Source organism: Homo sapiens, chromosome 3 (assembly GCF_000001405.40).
Source record: "Homo sapiens chromosome 3, GRCh38.p14 Primary Assembly".
Lineage (NCBI taxonomy): Eukaryota > Metazoa > Chordata > Mammalia > Primates > Hominidae > Homo > Homo sapiens.
This window is the reverse complement of record NC_000003.12, coordinates 52,633,125-52,660,569: the sequence shown is the minus strand read 5'-3', so window position 1 is coordinate 52,660,569 and position 27,445 is coordinate 52,633,125. Positions and strand designations below refer to the sequence as shown.

Here is a 27,445-nt window from a genome sequence, read left to right as displayed (position 1 = left end):
CTGTACTCTAGCCTGGGTCTTAGAATGAGACTCTGTCTAAAAAAAATATAGATAGATAGATAGATAGATATACACAAAATATATATACACACATATACATGTAGTTCATATATTTTATATGTATAAAATTTTATATTTTATATATGATATGTAAATATATGTATATAGTTCCTCAGCAGCTTGTCAGTTTCTTTAAGTAGTTAAGTGATTGGAACTAAATAGAAGGCTAAAAATAGGAATTTCCTGGAATTTTACTCTCTAATATGAATACAGGAGAAGCAGCCCATGCTTTCTTCGGTAGAACACTGCTTGCAGAGGCCCCACCCTTAGTGTAGGCCTTCAGGGCTCTAGTCAAAAGATTAAAATGCCTGTATTTAGGACTTGCCCGTACTTCTGTAACGCATAATTGATGAGAAATTGGGAGGGTCTTGTACATTCACATTTATACCTCCCAAGCCTCTTTCAAATTTTGTTTTTTTGAGACAGTGTCTTGCTCTTTGGCCCAGGCTGGAGTGCAATGGCACGATCACAGCTCACTGCAACCTCCACCTCTTGGGTTCAAACGATTCTTCTGCCTCAGCCTCCTGAGTAGCTGCGATTGCAGATGCCTGTCACCACACCAGCTAATTTTTGTATTTTTAGTATAAGTGAGGTTTCACCATGTTGGCCAGACTGGTCTCGAACTCTTGACCTCAGGTGATCCTCCCACTTCACCTTCCCAAAGTGCTTGGGATTACAGGCATGAGCCACCATGCCAGACCCCAAGACTCTTTATAACTCAATGATTCTCATGGAGGGAGAAGAAATTTTCAGGTTTCTAATTTTTAAATCAAGGATGATTTTCTTGGGTCTGGTGCGGTGGCTCACGCCTGCAATCCCAACACTTTAGGAAGCTGAGACTGGAGGATCACTTGAGCCCAAGTGTTTGAGACCAGCCTGGGCAATGTAGTGAGACGCCCATGTCTACAAAAAGTAAAAAAATTAGCCAAGCATGGTGGTACACATCTGTGGTCCCAGCTACTTGAAAAACTGATGTGGGAGGATTGCTTGAGCCCTGGAGTTAGAGGCTGCAGTGAGCCATGGTCACACCACTTCACTCCAACCTGGGCAACAGAGTGGGGAGGAAAAAAAAGTGTTGCACCTTAAAATTGAGACTATACTAAATAAAAAGAGCTTCTGTTGGATTAGGACACAATACCAGTACTTTTATGATTTAAACCAGAAAAAAAATTACTCTTTATTTTATATGTACAAAAAATGATTTGGACTAGAAGCATAATTTAATCCTTGACTGAGACATTCCATTGCTTATTCTAGAAACTTGCTTCAGACTTGGACCCTCCCTGGTCAAGTACTCTTTGGGGCATATACTTCCTATGTTGAAACAGTGACTAAGCTAGGTATAAACCAGTGGGTCTAAAGAACAGAAATGGTGTACATTGATGTACTTAATCGCTGTTTAGTTTTGACTTAATTTGAATTCAGTTAGACTTGGTAGAGCACCCCGTGGTTAAAAGTATGTAGTCCCAACTCTATGTAAGTAGTCATTGTCCTGTAAGTAGTCATTGTCCTGTAAGACTTCAATAGATGTGAACAGCAGATATAGAAATGAACTATTATGGGACATGCTTTCTCCTGCTCAGTTGCTCATTTCACATTTGTAGCACTTAAACTTTGCCATTGCAATATTTACTGTAGAAAAAGGTTCAGTAGAAGGACCTAGTACAAGGGATTTCATTGCAAAAATAATATAAGGCACCTCATTAGGTTCATATAGGTTGTTCTAGGGATACAATGCCTATGTCCAGCATCAGAACATTATGGGGTATTCTTGAAATTTGGAGTTAAAATAAGTACTGCTTAGAAGTTGCTTTCTTTGGCCAGGCACAGTGGCTCATGCCTGTAATCCCAGCACTTTGAGAGGCCGAAGTGGGCAGACATGAGGTGAGGAGTTCGAGACCAGCCTGGCCAACATAGTGAAACCCCGTCTCTACTAAAAAAATAAAATTTAGCTGGGCCTGGTGGCGCATGCCTATAATCCCAGCTACTCGGGAGGCTGAGGCAGGAGAATTACTTAAACCCAGGAGGTGGAGGTTGCAGTGAGCTGAAATTGTGCCACTGTACTCCAGCCTCTCCATCTCAAAAAAAAAAAAAAAAGTTGCTGTTTTGAATTAGCTCTACAATTTTAGAAGCTATGTAATATTCAGCATTTTATTATTTCTCTTAGAAAGTACTTTTTTCTCCACATTACCAGTCTTCTCCAGCTTACTTGAAGGAGATCCTGGAGCAGCTTCTTGAAGCCATAGTTGTAGCTACAAATCCATCAGGACGTCTCATTAGCGAACTTTTTCAGAAACTGCCTTCTAAAGTGGTAAGTGATGCAGTTAAAAACAGGTACATGTCAGTGTTTTGTTTTTAGTACTTCAAGAATTGTATTAATTACTGATAAATAAAGTAAGTTCAAAAGGAAGATGTTGGGCCGGGTGTGGTGGCTCATGCCTGTAATCCCAGCACTTTGGGAGGCCGAGGCAGGTGGATCATCTGAGGTTGGGAGTTCGAGACCATCCCGATCAACATGGAGAAACCCCATCTCTACTAAAAATACAAAAAATTAGCTGGGTGTGGTGGCGCATGCCTATAATCCCAGCTACTCGGGAGGGTGAGGTAGGAGAATTGCTTGAACCCTGGAGGCAGAGGTTGCAGTGGGTGAGCCAAGATTGCGCCATTGCACTCCAGCCTGGGCAACAAGAGCGAAACTCCGTCTCAAATTTAAAAAAAAAAAAAGAAAAGGAAGATGTTGGGCCAGGCGCAGTGGCTCACGCCTGTAATCCCAGCACTTTGGGAGGCCAAGACAGGCAGATCACCTGAGGTCAGGAGTTTGAGACCAGCCTGGCCAATGTGGTGAAAACCCATCCCTAGTAAAAGTATAAAATCTACCCTGGTGTGATGGTGTGTGCCTGTAATCCCACCTACTCGGGAGGCTGAGGCAGGAGAATTGCTTGAACCTGGGAGGTGGAAGTTACAGTGAGCTGACATCATGCCGTTGCACTCCAGCCTGGGTGACAGAGCAAGAGTCCATCTCAAAAAATAAATAAATAAAAGGAAGATGTTGGAGGCCCCCAAGAGATCCTCCTCACAGCAGCACAAAATGTATACGGTCTATCATTTTACATGATCAGAAGGTTATGATTTTATTTTTTTATTTTTACGTTTTTTGTTTTTTGATTGGTAATTATTTTTATTTGTTTCTTATTGTGGTAAAGGATATGTATCATAAAATTTATCATTTTAGCCATTTTTAAGTGTACAGTTCTGTGGCATTAAGTACATTCACATTTTTATGCAACCATCACCACTATCTGGAACTTTTTAGTCTTACAAAACCAAAACTCCATACCCATTAAACACCAAGTCCACTCCCCTCTTCTCCCAGCTTCTGGCAGCCACCATTCTGCTTTCTGTCTATGAATTTGACTATTCTAGGTACGTCATAGAAGAAGAATCATTCAATATTTGTCCTGTGACTGCTTATTTCACTTAGCATATGTTCAGGATTCATCTATATTGTAGCCTGAATCAGAATTTCATTCCTTTTTAGAACCGAATAGCATTTTGTTATTTCTATATAATACCTTTTGTTTATAAGTTTTTTGGGGTGTTTTGTTTTGTTTAGAGATAGAGTCTTGCTGTGTTGCCTAGGCTGACCTCAAACTTCTGGGCTCAAGCGATTCTCCCACCTCAGCCTCCCAAGTAGCTGGGTATACAGGCTTGTGCCACCGTGCCTTACTACATTTTGTTTACTCATTCATCTGTCAATGGACATTGGGTTGTTTCCAAGATTGGTAATTCTTCATTGATAAAATAAGCACTTTAACTAAATCTTTTTTATTTATTTATTAATTGTTGAGACGGAGTCTCGTTCTGTCACCCAGGCTGAAGTGCAATGGCGTGATCTTGGCTCACTGCAACCTCCGCCTCCCGAGTTCAAGCGATTGTCCTGCCTCAGCCTCCCAAGTAGCTGGGATTACAGGCATGCACCACCACACCTGGCTAATTTTTGTATTTTTTAGTAGAGACAAGCTTTCACCATGTTGGCCAGGCTGATCTTAAACTCCTGACCTCAAGTGATGCACCTGCCTCAGCCTCCCAGAGTGCTGGGATTACAGACATGAGCTACTACACCCGGCCTAAACCTTGCATTTTTAAGAGTGGAAACTTTCTCTTTGTGTAGGGGACAGGGTAAGAGGAAGATAAATGAGTTCTTCCTCCTTTTAATTCTCTTTGATCTCCTGGTGATGCTGAAAAAAGAAAAACGAATTAGGTACTCTTCTGCCTGAAAAAAGAAGAGGTTTTCTAGACAAGCAAGACCTTTAAAAAGTATCAGAATTCTTTATGCCTTTACACCCAAAAGATAATTAACATATAGATTTGACTCACATTAGCCTATGAAACTGCAAACATTTTCATGGCCTCAGCATTCTCATATTTCTAGGTAAGGATATACTTTCAGAAGTACTCCATGGTAGCACTTAGCCCTATTGTGATCATTTACTTTTCTGTCTGCCTTCTTTTCTACTCCCTGAATTTCTTGAGGACAGTGACTGTGCTGTAATTTACCTTTGTATTACTGTCTATAACTGGAACCCGATCCGAAGGATTGGATGACTTTGGATTACTTTGTACCCCATGCTGGGTGGTCATAGATATGCAAGATGCTTGTTGACTGATGAGTAGCATGCAGCTTTCCTCATCAGTCATTGGCAAGACTATAGTTATTTAAAGGTGTGTCTTGACTAGCTATAGGATAGTTACAACATTAGAAATAAAGCAACTGACCACTGCTGTCCTATGTGTGAATCTTACTAGAAAGATGTAATTATTAATATTGGTCATATGACTTAAAACTTTAAGAAAAGGAGAAAACAGTATGATGATTCTCTAGAGAATTAAACATGGAATTACCATATGATCCAGCAGTTCCACTTTAGATATATACTCCAAAGAAAGTGAAAGCAGGGTATTGAAGAGATATTTGTATACCCATATTCATAGCAGCATTATTCACAATAGCTAAAAATGGAAGCAACTCAGGTGTCCATCAGTGAATGAATGTATATGTGACATATACATACAGTGGCATATTATTTGGCGTTAAAAAGGAAGGAAATTCTGAAACATCCTACATGGATGAACTCTAAAGACATTATTTTAAGCAAAATGAGCCAGTCACAAAAGGACAAATACTGTATGATTTCTTATATGAGGTACCTAGAATACTCAAAATCTTAGAGACATAAAGTTAGAATGGTGGTTGCCAGGGGCTGGAGGGAATGGGGAGTTGTTTAATATGTACAGAGTTTCCATTTTGCAAGATTAAAAAGTTCTGGAGGTGGATGTCAGTGATAGTTGCACAGCAGTGTGAGTGTACCTCATGCCACAGAACTGTACACTTAAAAATGGCAAATTTCATGTTACTACATGAAATTTATTTTATTACAGTAAAAAAAATTATAAAAGAAGTACAGGATAGGTGTAGTGACCCACACCTGTAATCCCAGAGCTTTGAGAGGCCAACATAGCTGAGACTCTGTCTCTACAAAAAAAATTTTTTTAATTAGCTAGTCATGGTGGTGTGCACCTGTAGTCACAGCTGTTTGGTGGGGCTGAGTTTGGAGGATCACTTGAGCCTAGGAGTTCAAGGCCGCAGTGAGCTGTGATCATGCCACTTCACTCCAACCTAGGCAACAGAAAGAGACCCCGTCTCTTTTTCTCTCTCTCGCTCTCTGTCAACTCTCATTCACACATGCACACATACACACAAAATAGAAGTACTGTCTTCGCTCAAGATTTATTCTTACCCTGCAGGAGATAATCAGTGATGGTCAAATCAACAACAGTGATATGGGGCAATGAAACATCAATAATTAGTTCCCCCCATTCCCCCTTCAAGGTCACCTTGAAGGAGCTGGTTGGGAAAAGCAGGTTTCTATTGGTCTCTCAGGGTGTGACAGTTTGAAAGACAACAAGGATTGACAGCTGAAGGGGCAGGACAGTTTTCACCTTTCCTTAGTAAGTCCGTCCCAAGCAAGCTGGCTGCATGGGAGAGATAGATTGGGAATTTGTGGGATTGGATGACTTTGAATTACTTTGTACTCCATGCTGGGTGGCCTTGCCATAATTTGTCCTCTGAACTTTCTCTCAGAAGTAGAACTGGTGAAGAGAAGGGGCAGCAATGGAGATTCATCCAAGTAAAGGAAGGAGTAGGGTTAAGAAAGTAGTGGTAAGCTTAGGGGACAGATGAGATAAAACAACACTGAGATAATCTGTTCAGCCCAGTAACTGAGTGAAGGCTGTGGCTTTCTGCTTTTGTTGTTGCTGCGTGGGCTTCAGTAGGGTTTGAACAGGTGGGAAGAGTTGGGAGAGCACAATCTGACTTCCCCTGAACCTCTCCCATCTGATAAGACCAACTTTTGATATTTGGGCAACTTCAGTTATTTCCTCCAAGGAAGAAAATCTGTAGGAAAGCCTGAGTGCAGTGAGTGATTCTAGGTTGTTGTGAAAGCTTCAAGGACATTCCTCAACATGTTCAATTTCTTGGGATGACCTAGTATTTGATAAATCAGAAGTTGCTAATAATTTTGCTTCATTTCTTTTCTTTTTTCAAGACAGTCTTGCTCTGTCACCCAGGCTGGAGTGCAGTGGCGTGATCTCAGCCCACTGCAACCTCTGCCTCCCAGGTTCAAGCGATTCTCCTGCCTCAGCCTCCTGAGTAGCTGGAATTACAGGCACCCGCCACCACACCCAGCTAATTTTTGTATTTTTAGTAGAGACGGGGTTTCACCATATTGGCCAGGCTGGTCTTGAACTCCTGACCTCGTGATCTGCCCGTCTCGGCCTCCCGAAGTGCAGGGATTACAGGCATGAGCCACCATGCCTGACCAGAATTTTGCTTCATTTCTTTCTTTCTTTTTTTTTTTTTTGAGACAGAATTCTGCTCTTCTTGCCCAGGCTGGAGTGCAATGGAGCAATCTCAGCTCACTGCAACCTCCACCTCCCAGGTTCAAGCGATTCTCCTGCCTCAGCCTCCCAAGTAGCTGGGATTACATGCATGCACCAACATACCAGGCTAATTTTGAATTTTTAGTAGAGATGGGGTTTCACCATGTTGGCCAGGCTAGTCTCGAACTCCTGACTTCAGGTGATCCACCCACCTCAGCCTCCCAAAGTGCTGGGATTACAGGCGCGAGCCACCATGCCCAGCCGTGCTTCATTTCTTTAACAAAGTTTCATTCAAAAGGTATTTTGTTTTGAAAAAACTTACTTTGACTGAAATAAGCAGAAGCATCAAGTTAAACATGAAGCTAACAAATTTTGCAACCTGACTTCTTACAGATCCTTATGAAAGTTTATGTGAATATTATATAATAACGTTATTTAGATTGCAAAATTAAAAGAGCTTGTAACAAACTCCTAAAGAGCATTTCTTCTACTTTATTTCTAGGCATAGATATCTTGGGACCTTAAATGAAAAATTGTATAATTCTGTGAATTTAGAATTTTTGTTTGTTTTTTGAGACGGAATCTTGCTCTGTTGCACAGGCTGGAGTACAATGGCGTGATCTCGGCTCACTGCAACCTCCATCTCCTGCGCTCAAGTGATTGCCCTGCCTTAGCCTCCTGAGTAGCTGGGATTACAGGCGCACACCACCATGCCTGGCTAATTTTTGTATTTTTAATGGAGACAGGGTTTCGCTATGTTGGCCAGGTTGGTCTTGAACTTCTGACCTCAAGTGATCCAGCTGCCTCAGCATCCCGAAGTGCTGGGATTACAGGTGTGAGCCACCGCGCCTTGCCGAATTTAGATTATTTATTTTTTTTTTGAGATGGAGTCTTGCTGTGCCGCCCAGGCTGGAGTGCAGTGGCATGATCTCGGCTCGCTGCAACCTCTGCCTCTTGGGTTCAAGCGATTCTCCTCCCTCAGCCTCCAGAGTAGCTGGGACTATAGTTGTATGCCACCATGCCCAGCCAATTTTTTTTCTATTTTTAGTAGAGACAGGGTTTCACCACGTTAGCCAGGATGGTCTCAATCTCCTGACCTCGTGAACCACCCGCCTCGGCCTCCCAAAGTTCTGGGATTACAGGTGTGAGCCACCGTGCCCTGCCTAGAATTTTTTTTTTTTTTTTTGAGACGAAGTCTCTTTCTTGTCCCCCAGGCTGGAGTATAATGGCACGATCTCAGCTCACTGCAATCTCTGCCTCCCAGGTTCAAGCGATCCTCTTGCCTCAGCCTCCTGAGTAGCTGGGATTACAGGTGCCTGCCACCACGCCCGGCTAATTTTTGTATTTTTAGTAGAGATGGGGTTTCACCATGTTGGCCAGGCTGGTCTTGAACTCCTGACCTCAGGTGATCCACCTGCCTCGGCCTCCCAAAGTGCTGGGATTGCAGGCGTGAGCTACCGCACCCGGCCCCAGCCTAGAATTTTTTAAAACATTAAATTTTATGCTAGTTGCATAATAACACTCAAAATACCAAGTTTTAACTCCTAAGTCATGCTGTTGGATAGATCATGAAGCTTCTTAAGATTAAATTCTTTATGGTTCTGATATAATAAATGTGCTGTACAGCCATGTCTTTAGTCTTGAATCTCACAAAGCTGCTTCACTGGTTGTTTGAACAACAGATTGTCAATGTACTTCCTTCTCTTTTCATTAGCTGAATAGTTTAACTTATTGAGCATGCCTGGTTTTTTGTCTTCCAGCAATATCCAGATTATTATGCAATAATTAAGGAGCCTATAGATCTCAAGACCATTGCCCAGAGGATACAGGTATGAAGATGACCATAAGTAAATGATTGTGGTTTAGAGCAGATTGGCCTATGATCTTTCCTAGAAGCTTTTAGAAAACAGAGAAGCTAGTTGTCTCTGTAAGGGGTTATTAGCAAATCATGTAAATAAATTAAAATAGTGTTACTGATTGTAGCTTTGGATTGCATCTTAGGACAAAAATTAAAACACATTGGTTACCGACATTTCTGATTATAAAAGATACATTTGTGACAAAAGATTTATTTCATTTTTAATTTTTAAATTTTTTATTTTTGTGGGTGCATAGCAGGTGTATGTATTTATGGGGTACATGAAATTTTGATACTGGCATACAGTGCATAATAATCACATCAGGGTAGATGGGGTAACCTGTTGTTTATTTTTATCTGCTTCCAAATAGCTTTAGGATACGTTAGAATAAAAGCTACCCACAACGGATGTTAGAGTGGAAGGTCAGTGGAATTAGATACTACTTTTTTCTCTTTGGCCCTCTCTACCCTACCCCTTCACTGTATCCCTGGCAGTAAATAGTGGCAACTAAACACTCACATAGACTTGCTATGTACCTAGCACTGTTTTAAGTGCTTTATGTGTATTAGCTAATTAATTCTTAAAACTCCACAGAGTAGTATTGTTATTATTCCCATTTTACAAGTTAGAAAACTGAAGCACAGAAGTGTTAAGTAACTTGCCCAAATCACCGCCTAGGAAGGAGAACTAGGATTTGAATCCAGACAGTCTAGCTGTAGTCTGTGTTCTCAACCCTTACACTTACTGTTTCTGTACAGAGTAGGTGCTTAATAAATATTAATTGTGTGACTGAGTGACTAGGATTTAAAATTTGATTATTAGAAGTAAGGGAAAGTATAGGGAAAAAGAGCTAAATTGTACCAGAAATTGAGTATTTAGAGTAGAACTGATATGGTTGTTTTTCTAGCTCTACTACTTAATCAGCTATGTCACTTTGGTCAGGTGATTTGCCTGCTTCCTCTGCTGTATGTTGCGTGTAGTATCACTACTTTGCAGAGTCATAGAGGTTGGTGATAATATAGATAAAGCATCTCACATAGAACCTACAGCATGAGGTCCTCATAAATGTGAGTTACTGATCTTCCCAGGATAAGAAGGGTTTGCTGCTCCCAGGAGGTAAGGCAAAAAGGAAAACAGTGTGTTACATAGTTTCATTGAGAAATGAGACTGATAGCCACTGTGGTTTGCCAGGAAGGAGAAACTTCTTTGACTTTAAACTCTAAGAGAGTAGTAAAGAGTAACAGTGTTTACTTACTAGTACCACAGATAAATTTTCACAGAATGATAAAATACAGATTCCCTAATGTATCATCTTTTTTTTTTTTTAGGGTTTTTTTTTTTTTTTTTTTTGAGACAGTCTTGCCCTGTCACCCAGGCTGGAGTGCAGTGGCATGATCTCACCTCACTGCAAACCTCCACCTCTTGGACTCAAGTCATTCTCCTGCCTCAGCCTCCCGAGTAGCTGGGATTATAGGCGCCTGCCACCAAACCTGGCTGATTTTTGTATTTTTAATAGAGACAGGGTTTCACCATGTTGGCCAGGCTGATCTCGAACTCCTGACTTCAAGTGATCCACCCGCCTTGGCCTCCCAAAGTGCATAGAGATTATAGGTGTGAGCCACCCTGCCAGGCCTCATCAGGTTTTTAAATCAGCCCAATAACTGTTACTGAGAATGACTCAAGTCTCCTAAATCCCTGGAATTTCTAACATCTGTGTAGGAGGATTATGTTTTCATAATCCTGGAAATTGAATCAGATCTTTAATCATCTCTATCTCAGCCCCAGTCTTCTCTTTTTGACTTCTCGCCTTATTTTGTCCTTTCTTCTTTCCAAAAGTCTCAGAGTCACCTTTTGCCATCACCCGATTCAAGGTCCTTGTCCTCTTATGTCCAAATTACTGGAATAATCTATTTTACCTCTCTGATGAAAAACTTTCTAGTCCTTTCTGTGTCTTGGCTCCTGACCTTGGCTTTCTTCCTGCCAGTCCCGTGCTCAGAGACTTAATTCACTTGTTTTCCAATGCCTGCTAAAGCATGTCACAACTCCTTGTACCAGTTGAATAAAACCAACTCTGACTAATTTAAGTGGAAAAGGAATTTTTGAAAAGCATATTGGATAGCTCATAGAAATGTTGAGAAGAAAGGTTGAGGAACTAGCCTTTGGATACTAGGCAGAACTCAGGAACATCATGGCACAGCTGAGATCATGCACAGCCTCTTTGTGGTGCCATTGCTGTTACCACTGTAATTTGCCACTGTGGTCCCTGGATACTTGCTGCTCTACTGCTAGACTCTCCTCCTCTACAGGAGTCAGGAATGAATTCCTGGCCATTGCATTAATCCCTTTAGACCCAAGCATGAATTAGCTGACCTGTGGTTATTTCCCCTTGCCCTGGCTGCCAGGCTGCTGGCAAAGTGACCATTTGCCCACTTACATCCTCATTATGGGAGGTAGAGCCCTCCCGATGCCTGTGCTGATTCCCTCCGTGTAAGAAGGATGCGTAGTTGTTGGTAGTCCCACGAGGCAAATAGCTACACTCCTTTGCCTGGCTCTCTGGATTCTGCCTCTTTTGTTTTTACCCTCTCTGTGCTTATGGCTCTACCCTTCTCCACCTTCCATTTCGCTCAGTTTGGTTTCCTTACTCTCTCTAGACCATGTCTTTTTCATTTCCATGTACTTACCATTAGTCATGTGTGCCTCTTACCTAAAAGTGTGTCCGTCTTTCATTTCCTTCGTAAATTTAGGCAACTATATGAGTATTCCTGGGTTGTTTTGGATTGAGTGAGCCTTAAGATATGACAGCTCTAGCACACAGTAGGTACTCAGAAAATGTTAGCCTCTGTGCTGGACTGATTTCATATTTTACCCCAAGTGGTTCATGTAACTAGGGGGAGTTTTGCTTCACACTATTAAATCCACTTTAAAGAATTAGTATTCATGAAGCACTTAGAACTGTGCTTGGCACATAGTAAGCACTATGTGTTTGTAAAATAAAACTTCTACCTTATTTGACTTTTTAAAAATTGTAATTTATTTTTATGAGAATAATGCAGCTCTGGTTTTGTTACCTATCTCAAAAACTTACTTATAAATGGGTACAGTAATAATTTATAAAAAAGAAAATGACTTTACATGTTGTTCATATGTGTACTTTCCAATAAAGTCTTGGAATATGGTGACAATTTAGAAATATGTGGGGTTCTTTTTTTAAAGGTTGTACTGATGAACTCTCATTAAAAGGAACTGCTATATTTTGTTGTTTATTGTAGAATGGAAGCTACAAAAGTATTCATGCAATGGCCAAAGATATAGATCTCCTCGCAAAAAATGCCAAAACTTATAATGAGCCTGGCTCTCAAGTATTCAAGGTTAGTTTTGTTGTTGTTGTTGTTGTTGTTTTCCTTGGTAATAGTAGATAATTTAAGGTCAGTAATTTTTATAAAACAACTTTATTGAGATATAATTCACATACCATGGACTTTACCCATTAAAAGTGTTTAATTTAGGCTGGGCGCAGTGGCTCACGCCTGTAATCCCGGCACTTTGTGAAGCCTAGGTGGGTGGATCACGAGGTCAGGCGTTCCAGACCAGCCTGGCCAACATAGTGAAACCCCATCTTTACTAAAAATACAAAAATTAGCTGGGCGTGGTGGCAGGCGCCTGTAATCCCAGCCAATCGGGAGGCTGAGGTAGGAGAGTCGGTTGAATCCGGGAGGCAGAGGTTGCAGTGAGCTGAGATTGCACTCCAGCCCGGGCGACAGTGCAAGACTCTGTCTCAAAAAGAAAAAAAAAAAAGTATTTAATGTAATGGTTTTTATTATATTCATGGAGTTGGGCAGCCATCACTCCAGTCAATTAACAGTCGCCCTTTATGTCCCCCCAACTTCTCTAGCCCTAAGCAACCTCAAATCTATTTTCAGTCTCTGTGTTTGCCTGTTGCCATTTTACACAAATGGAATCGTATAATATGTGATATGGATTTTTTGCGACTAGATTCCTTCAGTTAGCGTAATGTTTTCAGGGTTTATCCATTTTGTAGCATGTGTCAGTACTATGTTCTTTTTATTGCGGAATAATATTCTACTATAGGGATATACACTGTATTTTATTTACCCATTCATCAGTTGATAGATATTTGGATAGTTTCTACTTATTGGCTATTATAAATAATGCTGTTGTGAATGTTCACATATACGTTTTTATGTGGACATATAAATACTACATATATATATATATATATATATATATATATATTTTTTTTTTTTTTTTTTTTTTTTTTTTTCTCTTTGATACATACCTAGGAATGGAATTGCGGGGCCATGTGTGGTAACTGTATATTTAACTTTCTGAAGAACCGCCAAACTGTTTTCCAAACTCTACCATTTTACATTCCCACCAGCAATATCCAGGTGTTGCCATTTCTCCACTTCCTCACCAACACTTGTTTTCCATTTTTGTTTTTGTTCTTATTATGGATATCCTAGGGAGTGTGCAGTGGTATGGCATTGTGGTTTTGATTGACATCTCCCTAATGATTAGTGATGCAGAACATCTTTTTATTTTATTCTTTATTTTGATTTTTAGGTCATTCATACGTCTTTAGAGAAATGTTCAGATCATTTGCCCATTTTTTAATTGTGTTACTGTTTTTTTGTTGTTGAGTTGTAAGAGTTCTTTATATGTTCTGGATATTATACCCTTATCATGTAAATGGTTTGCAAATATTTTCTCCCATTCTCTTGTCTTTTCACTTTTGTGATTGTGTCTGTTGACACACAGAAGTTTTTCATTTTGAAGTTCACTTTATCTATTTTTTTCTTTGGTTGCTAATGCTTAAGTGTCATATCAAATAAATCATTCCCTAATCCAAAATCACAAAGATTTACACCTATGTTTTCTTGTAAGAAGTTTATAGTTTAGCTCTTAACGTACTTAGATCTTTGATCCAGTTTGAAGTAATTTTTATATATGTGAGGTACATGTAAGGTAGGAGTCCAAATTCATTCTTTGATATGAGATATTATCCCAGCACTATATATAGAAAAGATTATTCTTTCCCCATTGAATTGTCTTGAATTGTCTTGGCAACTTTGTTAGAAATCAATTGACCATAGATGTATGGGTTTATTTCTAGATTCTTGGTTCTATTCCACTCACCTAAATTTCTGTCCTTATGCCAGACTTGGTTAGTTTTGAATCCATTTTTTAGTTAAATATTGACTTATTCCCTGCATTTAAACTTCATAAATATAAAAAGCAATCTGTGTAGTGCAGTACACAATGTAAAATGACTGTTTCATTGCTTTGCAAATTCCATCTTAGAAGTTTTATGGTTCTGTAATGAATAATTGCTTGTAGAAATTTATTGAATTAATCGTGTATCATTGGGAATTTGCCAAAGGAGACTCAGAAAATCTTTTGGGAATAAAATCATTTAAATTTTCTGAATGCTGACTCAAATACTCAAAATTGCTGTTGGTATTTAATGATAACTTTTATTTTTCATCTTTTAAGAAATTCTGAGAGAAAATCAGGAATGAACTATGAAGTCCTTGTATTCCTAGTCCCTAATAGGACATTTTAATAATATACAGTACTAATTGTTTGTTGTTACAGTTAAGAATTTTACTTTTGGGTCTAATTATTTTTTCTAACTAAGTTTTAAAGAGAAGGGAAACTTAAGCAAGTACATTCATTCTAAACTTGTGTATATAATCTTTAATCTTAGAAGTGCATCTGTATTTTGATTTTTAGGTCAGCGTACACAAGTAGAGTTAGTTGTCCGTAGTCCCTCACCTTATCTGCGGTTTTGCTTTCGTATGGTTCTGAGGTCAGAAAATATTAAATGGAAAATTCCAGAAATAAGCACTTCATAAGTTTAAATTGCACACCATTCTGAGTATTGTGATGAAATTCATGCCATCCACTTCTGTCCTATCTGGTCTCACCTGGGACATGAATCATTCCTTTGTTCAGTCTATCCACACTATATACACCACCTGCCGTTAGTCACTGTGTAGCCATCTCGGTTATCAGCTCGACTGCTGTGGTATCACAGTGCTTATGTTCAAGTAACCTTATTTTACTTAATAATGGCCCCAAAACACAAGAGTTGTGATGCTGGCAATTCAAGAAGCTTTAAAGTGCTCCCTTTAAGTGAAAAGGTGAAAGTTCTTGACTTAAGAAAGGAAAAAAAAAAAAAAAAGGTATGCTGAGATTGCTAAGATCTACAGTAAGAACAAATCTCCCAGCTGGGCACTCTGGTTTAGGCCTGTAATCCCAGCACTTTGAGAGGCCAAGGCAGGAGGATCACTTGAAGATAGGGGTTTGAGACCAGCCCGGTCTACATGGTAAGACTCTGTCTCCACCAAAAAAAAAAAAGAAAGAAAGAAAAAAAGATGAATCTGCTATTCATGAAATTGTAAAGAAGGAAAAAAAAGAAGTTTCTGCTAGTTTTATTGTTGCACCTCAGACTGCAAAAAGTTACAGCCACAGTGCATGAAAAGTGCTTCATTAATATGGAAAAGGAATTACATTTGTGGATGGAAGACATAGACAGAAATGTGTTCCAGGTTTGGCAATGTTCAAGGTTTCAGGCATCCACTGGGGGTCTTGGAATGTATCCTCCACGGACAGTGGGGCATTACTGTATTATACCATTAGATCTTTGTCTAAATATTACTTGACTAATCATGAAAGAACTAGGAGGCATTTTAACTTATATTTAATTAGTGACAACTTTATGAAGATAGATATTTTGGAAGCTTGTAGAAATGTTGGAGGATGCAGCTTTGTGGGTATTGAATGGAAGTCTGCTCCAAGTAGAAAGAGTGCCATAGAAGGTGCCCATTGCATGAGTTGGGGGCATTAAGCTGTCCTTTTATCTGTTCCTTTTTTAAACCAAGTAATTTTATCTTGACAGGATGCAAATTCAATTAAAAAAATATTTTATATGAAAAAGGCTGAAATTGAACATCATGAAATGGCTAAGTCAAGTCTTCGAATGAGGTAGGTTTAAGAAAATGTCTAGGCTGGGCGTGGTGGCTCATGCCTGTAATCTCAGCACTTTGGGAGGCTGAGGTGGGCGGATCACGAGGTCAAGAGATCGAGACCATCCTGGCCAACATGGTGAAACCCCATCTCTACTAAAAATACAAAAATTAGCCGGGCGTGGTGGCATATGCCTGTAGTCACAGCTACTTGGGAGGCTGAGGCAGGAGAATTGCTTGAACCCGGGAGGCAGAGGTTACAGTGAGCTGAGACCGCACCACTGCACTCCAGCCTGGTAACAGAGCGAGACTCGGTCTCAAAAAAAAAAGAAAATGTCTAAAACCCTTAATGCCTTTATATTTGCTGAGTTTTCTAGGTAGTGAAATCAATAAACATTAACACGGTTTATGTTGCATTTCAAGGTGATACTTACAGTTGATATTATAATTCTGAAGATAGTAGTAACTCTTAGCACCTTTGCTGCTGAAGGGCTTCATTTAACTAGAAACATTTTTTAAAACTTTACATCACTATATACTTTGTACAAATATTATTGCTTTGTACAAATATGAATATACATATATAATATATGGTATATATTAATATTACACAGAATAGATAATAGTATGGTATTTATATATAATATTAGTAGTATGTATTCATATTTTTGGTAAGGCTATTTAGCAGGTATCAGGAGATCCAGTCTCATCCTGGCTTTTCCTTGTACTAGGACTGTGATTTTTTTTTTTTGAGACAGAGTCTCACTCTGTTGCCCAAACTGGATTGCAGTGGCACAATCTCGGCCCACTGCAACCTCCACCTCCCAGGTTCAAGCAATTCTTTTGCCTTAGCCTCCCAAGTAGCTGGGACTTCAGGCACACACCACCATGCCCGGCTAATCTTTTTGTATTTTTAGTAGAGACAGGGTTTCACTATGTTGGCCAGGCTGGTCTTGAACTCCTGACCTTGTGATCCACCCGCCTCGGCCTCCCAAAGTGCTGGGATTACAGGCGTGAGCCACTGCGCCCGGCCAGGACTGTGATCTTGAACTAGTCTTAGTTCTAGGATTGCATTTCTCCCTACCTGAAATGGGAAGGTTGGGTGACTACTTTCAAAGCTTTCCTCTGGCCTTGACATTGTTTCAGTACCAGGTCCTCTGGTCACTGCAGTGACCAAAAGCTCTCTAGGACCAGCCCTGGTCTGTTCTTCCCCGCAGAGTCCCCAGGGCCTGAAGCAGAGTCTGCTGCATAGTAGAAGTTCAGAAGTATTTTAGCATTTCTATTTAGAAGAGAAGAAAATGGTTGTGTGTGTGTTTGTTTACCCAGCACTCTAATTTCAGCTACCAAGTTTCTAAGCTTTTTATCTTATCTCTGGATAGGACTCCATCCAACTTGGCTGCAGCCAGACTGACAGGTCCTTCACACAGTAAAGGCAGCCTTGGTGAAGAGAGAAATCCCACTAGCAAGTATTACCGGTGAGAAAAAGAGTGTTTAGTCTGAGAGTTGACCTGTGCTTATAAAGATAGGCATACTAGTATTTGCCCAATGGCTATCTTGAAGGAATATTTTTGGGTATAGTTTGGTTGTTAATGAGAATCTGTTGTCAAATGGTTTATTTAAAAGGTTGAGTTACTAGGGTGGGCACAGTGGCTCACGCCTGTAATCCCAGCACTTTGGGAGGCTGATACGGGTGAATCACTTGAGATCAGGTGTTCCAGACCAGCCTGGCCAACATGGTGAAACTCCATCTATACTAAAAACTACAAAAATTAGCTGGGTGTGGTGGCGGGTGCCTGTAATCCCAGCTACTTGGGAGGCTGAGGCAGGAGAATCGCTTGAACTCGGGAGGCGGAGTTTGCAGTGAGCCGACATCGTGGCACAGCACTCCAGCCAGGGCAACAGAGGGAAACTCCATCTCAAAAAAAAAAAAAAAATTGAATTACTAACGTAGGCCTTATATCACCTCTCAGACGATGCTTAAGCATTGTTTCTCAGGCAGGCAGTGTTTAATATTAGCTACCAATAAAATGTGAGGTTAAATACTAATAGGTTTTTTAAATTCATAATAGAATTTTTTGTTTGTTTGGTTTTTGGTTTTTTTTTTTTTTTTTTTTGAGACGAAGTTTGCTCTCGTTGCCCAGGCTGGAGTGCAGTGGCACAATCTCTGCAACCTCTGCCTCCTGGATTCAAGTGATTCGCCTGCCTCAGCCTCCCGAATAGCTGGGATTACAGGTGCCTACTACCACACCCGGCTAATTTTTTGTATTTTTAGTAGAGATGGGGTTTCACCATGTTGGCCAGGCTGGTCTCAAACTCCTGACCTCAGGTGTTCCACCTGCCTCGGCCTCCCAAAGTGCTGGGATTACAGGCATGAGCCACCACGCCCAGCCTCATAATAGAATTTGTATTGTAAAATATGAACATCTTAGAAGATAATTATCAGCAACTGTGACTGAGTCCTTATTTTCCACTCCCTCTTTTCTAAGAGGAAAAAAATAGTTTCCTCGGCTAAGATTGATTATGAGAACCATTAAGTACAGAGATAAACTAAGGAGGCAATTGAATAGAAATTATTTTTCTTTCATCTTAACACTTTGTTAATAGTTCCTGTTCCCTGTAAAGTAACCTAATTATTATAACATCCTTCCCTGTCTAATTGCTTTTTTTTTTTTTGTAGTAATAAAAGAGCAGTACAAGGAGGTCGTTTATCAGCAATTACAATGGCACTTCAATATGGCTCAGAAAGTGAAGAAGATGCTGCTTTAGCTGGTAGGCATTAGGTTTTGACTAGCGAAATGCCTTCTTAGTGGATCCTTCTAGCTAAATGAAATTGCAGTGATTTTTTCTGGCCTAGGGTTTGCTGGTTTGGGAAGTACATGCTATTTTATTGCATTTGATTGTACTCTGGTAGTCAGACCTATCAAAAGGTTAATGCTTTATCTTGTCTTAAAACTCATATTTGGGTAAATAATACTTCTGCAAAAATAATTGATAACTTAGCAGATCCTGGTTTAAAACCTATAATGATAAATAGTGAGTACTAGTAAAAGCATCAGAAAATCTCAGAAATCCACATTCATCTTAGATTTTCAGGCTTTAGCTTATATTTTCAGTATGCTCTAATTTCTTCTTGGCTTGTCTTTCTCTTAAGTTTGATATAATATTTTCCCCTTTACTATAGATTTTTTTATGTGTAAAGATAAAATTTGTTTCATTAAATTATTCTGGTATATTCTTTTCTTTCTTTCTTTTTTTTTTCTTTTTTTTTTTTTTTTTGAGATGGAGTCTCGCTCTGTTGCCCAGGCTGGAGTGCAGTGGTGTGACCTTAGCTCACTGCAACGTCCGCCTGCCGGGTTCAAGTGATTCTCCTGCCTCAGCCTCCTGAGTAACTGGGACTACAGACACGCGCCACCACACCTGGCTAATTTTTGTGTTTTTACTAGAGACGGGGTTTTACCACATTGGCCAGGCTGGTCTTGAACTTCTGTCCTCATGATCCACCTGCCTCGGCCTCCGAATGTGCTGGGATTACACCACGCCTGGCCTCAATTTTATTATTGAATGTTACACAACAGACTTCTCCAGTTGTATCTTGTTTTTAACTAAATCTCCTATAGAAATTTCATAATCACTATAGGCTATTATGTATAAATTTACTTTTTTGAAACATTGATCTACAGAATTAAGTATTTTTTTATTTAAATTGGGCCTGGTCTTATCAGAAATTGAAAAAATATTATCTTCTTGTTAGCATTGTTTTTTACTGATTATAAAAGTGACACACGGCCGGGCATAGTGGCTCACACCTGTGATCTCAGCACTTTGGGAGGCTGAGGGGGGTGGATCACTTGAGGTCAGGAGTTCAAGACCAGCCTGGCCAACATGGTGAAACCGTGTCTCTACTAAAAATACAAAAAATTGGCCAGGTATGGTGGAGCGCACCTGTAGTCTCAGCTACTCGGAAGGCTTAGGAAGATCACTTGAACCGAGGAAGTGGAGACTGCAGTAAACCGAGATCACACCACTGTACTCCAGCCTGGGCAACAGAGCAAGACTCTGTCTTGGGGGGAAGAAAAAGAGGTTATATGGCTGGTTACAAGAGACACATCAAATATAAAAACATAAGAAAGTTGAATCTAAAAGGATGGATAAGACCAGGTGTGGTGACTCACACCCATAATCCCAGCACTTTGGGAGGCCTAGGTGGGAGGATTGCTTGAGCCCAGAAGTTCAAGACCAGCCTGGGCAACATGGCAAAACGCTGTCTCTACAAAAAATACAAAATTTATTCAGGCGTGTTGGTGCATGCCTGTATTCCCAGCTACTTGGGAGGCTGAGATGGGAGGATCCTGAGCCCAGGGAGGTTGAGCCTGAAGTGATCACACCACTCCACTCCAGCCTGGGCAACAGAGTGAGACCCTGTCTCAAAAAATAAATAAAAAATAAAAATAATAAAATTGGGCTTTTGTCTTGAAAAAAAGAAAAGGATGGCTAAAAGATACACCAGGCGAATAATAACCAGGCGAATAATAACCAGAGTAGCTACACTGACTTTTGATAAGATGGACTTTCAAACAGAGATCATTACACAGATAAAAAGGATTGCCTAATGATGGTAGAAGGTTAATTTCATCAGCAAGTTAAATTGTAGAAGAGCTCAAAATATGTAAAACAAGCAGATGAAACTTTACAGAGAAATTCAAAACACTACCCTTAGTCTGGAAGCCCTCTTCTCTCAAGAGCTAAACAGAAAACGAATGAAGATAGAGATTTGAACACACTTCTTCATGTAAGTATTTGTTTCCTATTGCTGCTGACACAGTACCACATACTTAGTGGCTTAAAACAATGCAGGCTGGTACACTGGCTCACGCCTCTTATCCCAGCACTTTTAGAGGCTGAGGCAGGAGCATCACTTGAGTCCAGAAGTTTGAGACCAGCCTGCTCGACATAGAAACACCCTGCCTCTACAAAAAAAAAAAAAAAAATTTTTAAGGCAGGGTCTCCCTCTGTCACCCAGGCTGGAGCAGTGGCGTGATCTTGGCTCCCTACAACCTCCACTCCTGGGCTCAAGCAGTCCTCCCACCTCAGCCTCCCTAGTAGCTGGGACCACAGGTACTTGCCACCACACCCAGCTAATTCTACAAGAAAAATTTAAAAAATAAGCCATATGTAGCTACTCCAGAGGCGGAGTTGGGAGGATCACTTGAGCCTGGGAGGTTGAGGCTACAATGAGTCGTGATCCCACCACTGCACTCCAGCCCTGCCTCCAAAAAAAAAAAGAAAAGAAAGGAAACCTTTAACAGGAAAGATCAATAAAATCAAAAGTTATTCTGTTAAAACCCTTAATAAAAATAAGTCTGAGGTGAGATTGTCAAAAAGGCATAAATAAACAATATTGGCGGGGAGGAGAGCATACAGAGTTTTAAAAAAGAATGTGTGAATAAGGCCAGGCTTGGTGGCTCACGCCTGTAATCCCGGCACTTTTGGAGCCTGAGGTGGGCAGATCACCTGACGTTGGGAGTTCGAGACCATCCTGGCCAACATGGAGAAACTTTCTCTGTCTCTACTATAAATACATATAGTGGCACATGCCTGCAATCCCAGGTACTTGGGAGGCTGAGGCAGAAGAATTGCTTGAACCCGGGAGGCGGAGGTTGCTGTGAGCCAAGATTGTGCCATTGCACTCCAGCCTGGACAACAAGAGCAAAACTTTGTCCCCCGCCCCCCCCCCCCAAAAAAAAATGTGAATAACGTTATGCAAATATATTTAAAAATTTAGATGACCAGATTTCTAGAAAATAAGCACCTAAAATGGATTCAAGAATAAAAAGGCTGGCTCACACCTGTAATCCCAACACTTTGGGAGGCAGAGGCAGGAGGATCACTTGAGTCCAGGAGTTCAAGACCAGCCTGGGCAACATAGCGAGACCTCATCTCTGCAAAAAGAAAAAGAAAAATTAGCCGGGCGTGGTGTGGTGCATGTCTGTAGTCCTACCTACTTGGTAGGCTAAGGCAGGAGGATTGCCTGAGCCCAGGAGTTCAAGTTTGCCGTAAGCTATGATTATTCCACTACACTCTAGCCTTGGCAACAGAACGAGACTCTGTCTCTTAAAAAAAGAGAGAATACGAGGTCAGGAATTTGAGACCAGCCTGACCAACATGGTGAATCCCCGTCTCTACTAAAAATAGAAAAATTAGCCAGGCATGGTGGTGCACGCCTGTAATCCCAGCTGCTCAGGAGGCTGAGGCAGGAGAATTGCTTGAACCCAGGAGGCGGAGGTTGCAGTGAGCTGAGATCACGCCATCGCACCCCAGCCTTGGTGACAGAGCGAGACTCCGTCTCAAAAAAAAAAAAAAAGAATAAAATGAAATATTCCCACTTAGAAAATACCAGGCCAAACATTTAAGGAACAGAATTTTAAATAAACTCATGCAGAGAATAGAAAAAGAGCTCCGCAGTTCATTCTGTGAATCTAACATAACCTGTGAATCTAATATAACCTAGACATCAAAACTGCACAAAATATAAGCACACTGTCTAGCAGTGTGTATAAAAGATAGTATATAAGGACACAGTTGGATTTAGGATTAGAAAAGATAAAAGTAATCTTTACCACAGTAACAAATTATAAGAGTAAAATCATATGATTTGCTCAGCAGATGCATTTGATAATTGTTTCAGTTCCCATTCAAGATAAAAATTATTTGCTAACTAGTAAGAGAGGGGGATATTGATATAAAGTATCTCCTTTTTTTCTTTTTTCTTTTCTCTTGAGACGGAGTTTCGCTGTTGTTGCCCAGGCTGGAGTGCAATGGCGCAATCCCCGCTCATGGCAACCTCTGCCTCCCAGGTTCAAGTGATTCTCCTGCCTCAGCCTCCGGGTAGCTAGGATTATAGGAGCCCGTCACCATGCCCGGCTAATTTTTTTTTTTTTTTTTTTTTTTTGTATTTTTAGTAGAGACATGGTTTTGCCATGTTGGCCAGGCTGATCTCGAACTCCTGGCCTCAAATGATCCGCCCGCCTCAGCCTCCCAAAGTGCTAGGATTACAAGCATGAGCTACTGCGCCCAGCCTTCTTTTTTTCTTGAGACTGGGTTTTACTGTGTCACCCAGGCTGGAGTGCAGTGGCGTGATCTCAGCTCACTGCAACCTCCACCTCCGAGGCTCAAGCAATCTTTCCACATCAGCCTCTGGCGTAGCTGGGACCACAGGCACATGCCACCACACCCAGCAAATTTTTTATATTTGTGATAGAGATGGAGTTTCATCATTTTGCCCATACTGGTCTCAAACGCCTGAGCTCAGGCAGGCTACCCACCTCTGCCTCTCGAATTGTTGGGGTTACATGTGTGAGCCACAGTGCCCACCAAGGGTATCTCCATTTTTAATGGAGAAAAGGTAACAGCATTTCCCTTACCAACAGAAACAAGGTAATACTGTTACCTTTGTTGGTCACAGTACTAGCCAGCCTACAGTGACAACAATAAGGTGTAAGGATCAGAAAAGATGTATAAGGATTACAGTTGACAGTTTTTTTAAAAGATGCCGCTTACAGTAGCAACAAAATATATACCTAGGTGTAAATCCAACTGCAGGCTCTTTAGGGGAGAGATCAGAGGTATTAGAGTCAGAAAAGACTAGTTTCAAATTCTTATCTGCTTCTAGCTCCATGACTCTGGTTCCTAATCCCCTTCAACTGCTTTATGTGGTGGCTGAACTTGTGCAAGTAATTAACCTCATATGCCCAGTTTTCCCATTTGAAAAAGAAATAATACCCATCTTGTGTGTTGGTTTTAGGATTACCTGAGGCTGGTACTTATCAAGCTCTTAACACATAATTAAATTCTTTTTTTTTTTTTTAAGGCGGAGTCTCACTCTGTCGCCCAGGCAGGATTACAAGTGTGAGTCACTGCGCCTGGCCTAATTAAATTCTTTTTTTTTTTTTTTTTTTTTTTTTTTTTGGAGACAGAGTTTCACTCTTTTGCCCAGGCTGGAGTACAGTGGTGTAATCCCTGCTTACTACAATCTCCGCCTTCTGGTTTCAAGTGATTCTCCTGCCTCAGCCTCCCGAGTAGCTGGGATTACAGTCACCTGCCACCACACCCGGCTAATTTTTTTTATTTTTAGTAGAGACGGGGTTTCATCATGTTGGCCAGGCTGGTCTTGAACTACTGACCTCATGATTTGCCCGCCTTGGCCTCCCAAAGTGCTGGGATTACAGGCATGAGCCACCGTGCCCAGCCTAAATTCTTAATAAATGATTATGGTTCTTACCTGAGAGTACATAGCAACTATATGTTTATTCTGATCCATCAAGAAAAATTTAAATTATGGTCCTTACACACTGTTTAGGAGTTTGGGGAAATGAGCAACATATTTTTTATTTTTATAAAAATAATTACGTTTTGTTTGCTTTGGTGTTTTTATGATTTGCTTCTACCTAAAAATTCCCTCAGCAAGGGAATAGTCCTGGGGGATGTTTTAAATCAGTGGGCAAAGTCACAGAGATTTAAGGCTAAATCATGTCTGATAGAATCAGCCCAATCTAGGCTGGGCGTGGTGGCTCACGCCTGTAATCCCAGCACTTTGGGAGGCCGAGGCGGGCAGATCACGAGGTCAGGAGATCGAGACCATCCTGGCTAATATGGTGAAACCCCATCTCTACTAAAAATACAAAAAAAAACCAAATTGGCCAGGCGTGGTGGCACATGCCTGTAGTCCCAGCTACTCAGGAGGCTGAGGCAGGAGAATCATTTGAACTCAGGAGGCGGAGGTTGCAGTGAGCCAGGATCACGCCACTGCACTCCAGCCTGGCGACAGAGTGAGACCCCGTCTCAAAAATAAATAAATAAGAAATAAATAAAAAAGAATCAGCCCAATCTAAATTTATACTATCTTAAACTTCATGTTACTGTTTTAGTTCTGGGATCTCTGAATGGTTACTTGCTCCTTTTGGCCAAGCATAGCAAACAGTCTCTGAAGAAAGCACATTTCAGAAAGAAACTGTTTTGCAACCTTTAAAACTATTGTACTTTTACTATTTAATATTCTATTTCTATGTAATATTTCTCTAAACATGCAATTATGTTAAGCCTTTTTAGCATTATCTTTAATAAACATTTGAGAGGTTTTTTTGTTTTTGTATTTGTTTTTGAGATGGAGTCTTCATCCGTCACCCAGGCTGGAGTACAGTGGTGTAATCTCGGCTCACTGCAACCTCCGCCTTCTGGGTTCAAGCAATTCTTCTGCCTCAGCCTCCTGAGTAGCTGGGATTACAGGTGCATGCCACCATGCCCAGCTAATTTTTGTATTTTTAGTAGAGACGGGGTTTCACCATGTTGGCCACGCTGGTCTCGAACTCCTGACCTTGTGATTCACCCACCTTGGCCTCTCAAAAGTGCTGGGATTACAGGCGTGAGCCATCACACCCAGCCTTAGAGACTATTTTTTTAAAGTAATTATTCCCTTTATCTTAGAATTTTTTTAAAAAAGGGCCAGGCGTGGTGGCTCACACCTGTAATCCCAGCACTTTAGGAGGCTGAGGCTGGCAGATTGCCTAAGCTCAGGACCTTGAGACCAGTCTGGGCAACATGACGAAACCCCATCTCTACTGAAAAATCCAAAAATTAGCTGGGTGTGATGGTGTGCACCTGTCTTCTTAGCTACTCGGGAGACTGATCTGGGAGAACTGCTTGAGTCCCAGAGGCAGAGACTGCAGGGAGCCAAGATCGCACCCTTGCACTCCAGCCTGGGTGACAAAGCCAGACCCTGTCTCAAAAATAATAGTAATAATAGTTTTCAAATATATTTAGTTCAATCTGGAAGGTTGTTAAATGAACTTTAAAGTATGGTTCTTTCTTCATCTCATTCGTCCCTTTATAAATACTTTTTTTGTCTTTCCAGCTGCACGCTATGAAGAGGGAGAGTCAGAAGCAGAAAGCATCACTTCCTTTATGGATGTTTCAAATCCTTTTTATCAGCTTTATGACACAGTTAGGAGTTGTCGGAATAACCAAGGGCAGCTAATAGCTGAACCTTTTTACCATTTGCCTTCAAAGAAAAAATACCCTGATTATTACCAGCAAATTAAAATGCCCATATCACTACAACAGATCCGGTAAGATGTCTTCTACATTATTCAGTATAATTTTATTTTGTTGTGGCTGAGCCTGCACATAATGTATTTCTTCCTAAAATGGATAAGGATATTAAAGGTAAAAATGGTGTTTTTTTTTAACCTCAAATTTTAACTGTTCATTACCTTTTTTTTTTTTTTTTTTTTTGAGACGGAGTCTCAGTCTGTTGCCAGACTGGAGTGCAGTGGCGTGATCTCGGCTCACTGCAACCTCCGCCTCCTGGGTTCAGGTGATTCTCTTGCCTCAGCCTCCTGAGTAGCTGGGACTACAGGTGCGCACCACCACACCCAGTTAATTTTTGTATTTCTATTAGAGACTGGGTTTCACCACTTTGGCCAGGATGGTCTCGATCTCCTGACCTCATGATCTGCCCACCTCGGCCTCCCAAAGTGCTGGGATTACAGGTGTGAGCCTCTGTACCCAGCCTTAACTGTTCATTATCTTATAACTGAGCAAAGTACGAAAATCTTTCAGCCTACCTCTTTTATTAATATTTTAATTATGACAGTTAATCTGTATTTAAGTTATGTATCTATAGTTGAAACCCCAGGATAAGCATAGTCAGTTCCTGGAGAATTCATTAACCGCAACCATACCAGAAAGATGATTCATCTTGTTCTCTTTTTTCTATTTAGAAAATGTTAAAGTGATCATTGGGCTACCAGACAGAATACTTAAATCACAATAGTGTCATTAAAAATAGTAGGACGTCTCAACCACAAAAAAAAACCCAATTCAGAAATGGGCAAAGGTCTTGAATGGACCTTTCTCCAAGGAAAATATACAGCTGGCTAATAAGCACATGAAAAGGTGCTCAGCATCACTAATTATTAGGAAAATGCAGTTCAGAACTTTTGTGTGATACCACTTTGCACTCATTAGGATGGTTACTTTAAAAAAGTAATAATAATAATTATTGGTGTGTATGTGGAGAAATTGGAACCTCTGTGCAGATAGTGGGAATGTAAAATGGTATAGACGCTGTGGAAAACAGTGTGGCAGTTCCTCAAAAAATTAAACACAGAATTACCATGTGATTAAGAAATTCCATTTTGCATATGTACCCCAAAGAAATGAAAGCAGGGTCTCAAAGAGGTATTTGTAAACCTGTGTTCACAGCAGCAGCATTCACAATAGCTAAAACATGGAAGCTCAAGTATGCATCAAGAGATGAGGGGATACGCAAAATGGTGTGTACATACAATGGAATATTATTCAATCTTTAAAAGAAATTTTGAAACGCTCTAACATGGATGAAGCTTGAGGACATTATGCTAAGTGAAATAACCCAGTCACAAAATACAAATACTGAATGATTCTATTGATATGAGTATTTGTGCAATCAGAAGTCATAGAGACATAGACGCTGATCCAGAACATTAAAAAAAAAAATCAGAGACAAAATAGAATAGTAGTTGCCAGGGACTAGGGGAAGAGGGAAACAGGAAGTTACTGTTT

The 27,445-nt window shown here is 40.6% G+C and overlaps 1 protein-coding gene across 171 annotated transcripts in view; it reads left to right on the top strand.

The window, feature by feature from the left end:
• Positions 1 to 27,445, top strand: part of PBRM1 (polybromo 1) — a 140,547-nt gene that overhangs the window by 25,344 nt on the left and 87,758 nt on the right. For 118 of the 171 annotated variants that reach the window (NR_175959.1, NR_174502.1, NM_001405585.1 and 115 more), the window contains 7 exons: positions 2,255 to 2,371; positions 8,760 to 8,828; positions 12,128 to 12,226; positions 15,781 to 15,866; positions 17,227 to 17,322; positions 18,525 to 18,616; positions 25,755 to 25,968. Coding sequence is in view for 166 of the 171 variants with exons in the window: in NM_001405585.1 (NP_001392514.1) it covers positions 2,255 to 2,371; positions 8,760 to 8,828; positions 12,128 to 12,226; positions 15,781 to 15,866; positions 17,227 to 17,322; positions 18,525 to 18,616; positions 25,755 to 25,968 (773 nt within the window). In the remaining 5 variants the exon portion in view is untranslated. Of the gene's footprint in view, positions 1 to 2,227; positions 2,372 to 8,759; positions 8,829 to 12,127; positions 12,227 to 13,159; positions 14,307 to 15,780; positions 15,867 to 17,226; positions 17,323 to 18,524; positions 19,080 to 25,754; positions 25,969 to 27,445 lie in introns of those variants that run through there. The other 53 variants (NM_001405586.1, NM_001405569.1, NM_001405580.1 and 50 more) reach the window with 13 other exon arrangements.